The sequence below is a fragment of the Homo sapiens genome, chromosome 2 (genome assembly GCF_000001405.40).
Source record: "Homo sapiens chromosome 2, GRCh38.p14 Primary Assembly".
NCBI classification, from domain to species: Eukaryota; Metazoa; Chordata; class Mammalia; order Primates; family Hominidae; genus Homo; species Homo sapiens.
In genome coordinates, this window is record NC_000002.12 from 199,251,268 (window position 1) to 199,253,292 (window position 2,025).

At 43.7% G+C, this 2,025-nt stretch overlaps 1 annotated feature.

The window, feature by feature from the left end:
- Positions 820–1,403: an enhancer, noted in NCBI's record as "NANOG hESC enhancer chr2:200116810-200117393 (GRCh37/hg19 assembly coordinates)". NCBI's record gives its function as "activates a minimal SCP1, AML or CMV promoter by ChIP-STARR-seq in naive H9 embryonic stem cells {active_cell/tissue: H9 hESC(naive)}" and the evidence as "EXISTENCE:reporter gene assay evidence [ECO:0000049][PMID:30033119]".

A 2,025-nucleotide genomic window follows, 5' to 3' on the forward strand; every position in this document is an offset into this window, starting at 1 on the left:
TCATTTCTTCCCTTCTGCCAGACACAATTCCTCAGTTTAGCCTTCCCACCTCAATACAGTCTGATAACAGACCAGCCTTTATTAGTCAAATCAGCCAAGCAGTTTTTCAAGCTCTTAGTATTCAGTGAAACCTTTATATCCCTTATGGTCCTCTGTCTTCAAGAAAAGTAGAATGGACTAAAGGTCTTTTAAAAACACACCTCACCAAGCTCAGCCACCAACTTAAAAAAGACTGGACAATACTTCTACCACTTTCCCTTCTCAGAATTCAGGCCTGTTCTCGGAATGCTACAGGGTACAGCCCACTTAAGCTCCTGTATAGATGCTCCTTTTTATTAGGCCCCAGTCTCATTCCAGACAACAGACCAACTTAGACTGTGCCCCCCCCAAAAAAAACTTGTCATCCTTACTATCTTCTGTCTAGTCACCCTATTCACCATTCTCAACTACTCATACATGCCCTGCTCTTGTTTACACTGCCAGTTTACACTGTTTTTCCAAGTCATCACAGCTGATATCTCCTGGTGCTATCTCCAAACTGCCACTCTTAACTCTTGAAGTAAATGAATAATCTTTGCTGGCAGGACTCTGCCGAATCTCCTTAAGCACTCTCTAATCAGATATCCTGAGTCGTCCCAATTCTTAGACCTTTTATACCTGTTTTTCTCCTTCTGTTATTCCATTTAGTTTTTCAATTCATACAAAACCGTATCCAGGCCATCACCAATCATTCTATACGACAAACGTTTCTTCTAACATCCCCACAATATCACCCCTTACCACAAGACCTCCCTTCAGCTTAATCTCTCCCACTCTAGGTTCCCACACTGCCCCTAATCCCGCTTGAAGCAGCCCTGAGAAACATCGTCCACTCTCTCTCCATACCACCCCCCCAAAAATTTTCGCCGCCCCAACACTTCAACACTATTTTGTTTTATTTTTCTTGTTAATATAAGAAGGCAGGAATGTCAGGCCTCTGAGCCCAAGCCAAGCCATCGCATCCCCTGTGACTTGCATGTATATGCCCAGATGGCCTGACGTAACTGAAGAATCACAAAAGAAGTGAATATGCCCTGCCCCACCTTAACTGATGACATTCCACCACACAAGAAGTGTAAATGGCCAGTCCTTGCCTTAACTGATGACATTACCTTGTGAAAGTCCTTTTCCTGGCTCATCCAGGCTCAAAAAGCACCCCCACTGAGCACCTTGCGACCCCCACTCCTGCCGGCCAGAGAACAAACCCCCTTTGACTGTAATTTTCCTTTACCTACCCAAATCCTATAAAACGGCCCCACCCTTATCTCCCTTCGCTGACTCTCTTTTTGGACTCAGCCTGCCTGCACCCAGGTGAAATAAACAGCCATGTTGCTCACAAAAAAAAAAAAAAAAAGAAATGCACTTGTACACATGTGTGCACGTGCATGCACGCACACACACACACACACACACACACACACTCTTGATCACCTGTGAATGGTTCTGAGATATCCTGCCCTTCCTAGGGGAGTATTTGTGGAGATTGTCCAACCACAGCTTTTTTGGGAACAAATGGTAGAATGTGAATAAAGATAAACAAGGCAATTAATTTGATATTAATTTGATGTAGCATTAAATTAAAGGTCTCAATGTTCCTGGCTATTTAAAGCCTGCTATCCTCTCCACAATGAAGGAGAAGACACTCATATCCAGAGAGAAGCACCCAGTGAGGTTGAGAGACACTGCAAGGCCTCTCCTGAGTCTTGCTGCTCTGGGCGTGTAGACCTCATGGCTTCAGCAAAAATAATTTTTTCTCTTGCTTTTCTCCTTGTAGATGGCGTGTGCCTTCTGTGAATTATTCTTTCATGGGATCCACAAGAAAATAAACTCCTTTTGTGGTCAGTCCAAATCTTCCTTGTTACTTCTCTCTAGTGCTTGCTGTTTTCAGCAAGAGCACTGGTCAAAAACAAAACAAAAACCTTGATTTCCCATCAGCATCTCACCCATTGATCTAAACAGCCCTTCATGAGGGATCAATGAACATCA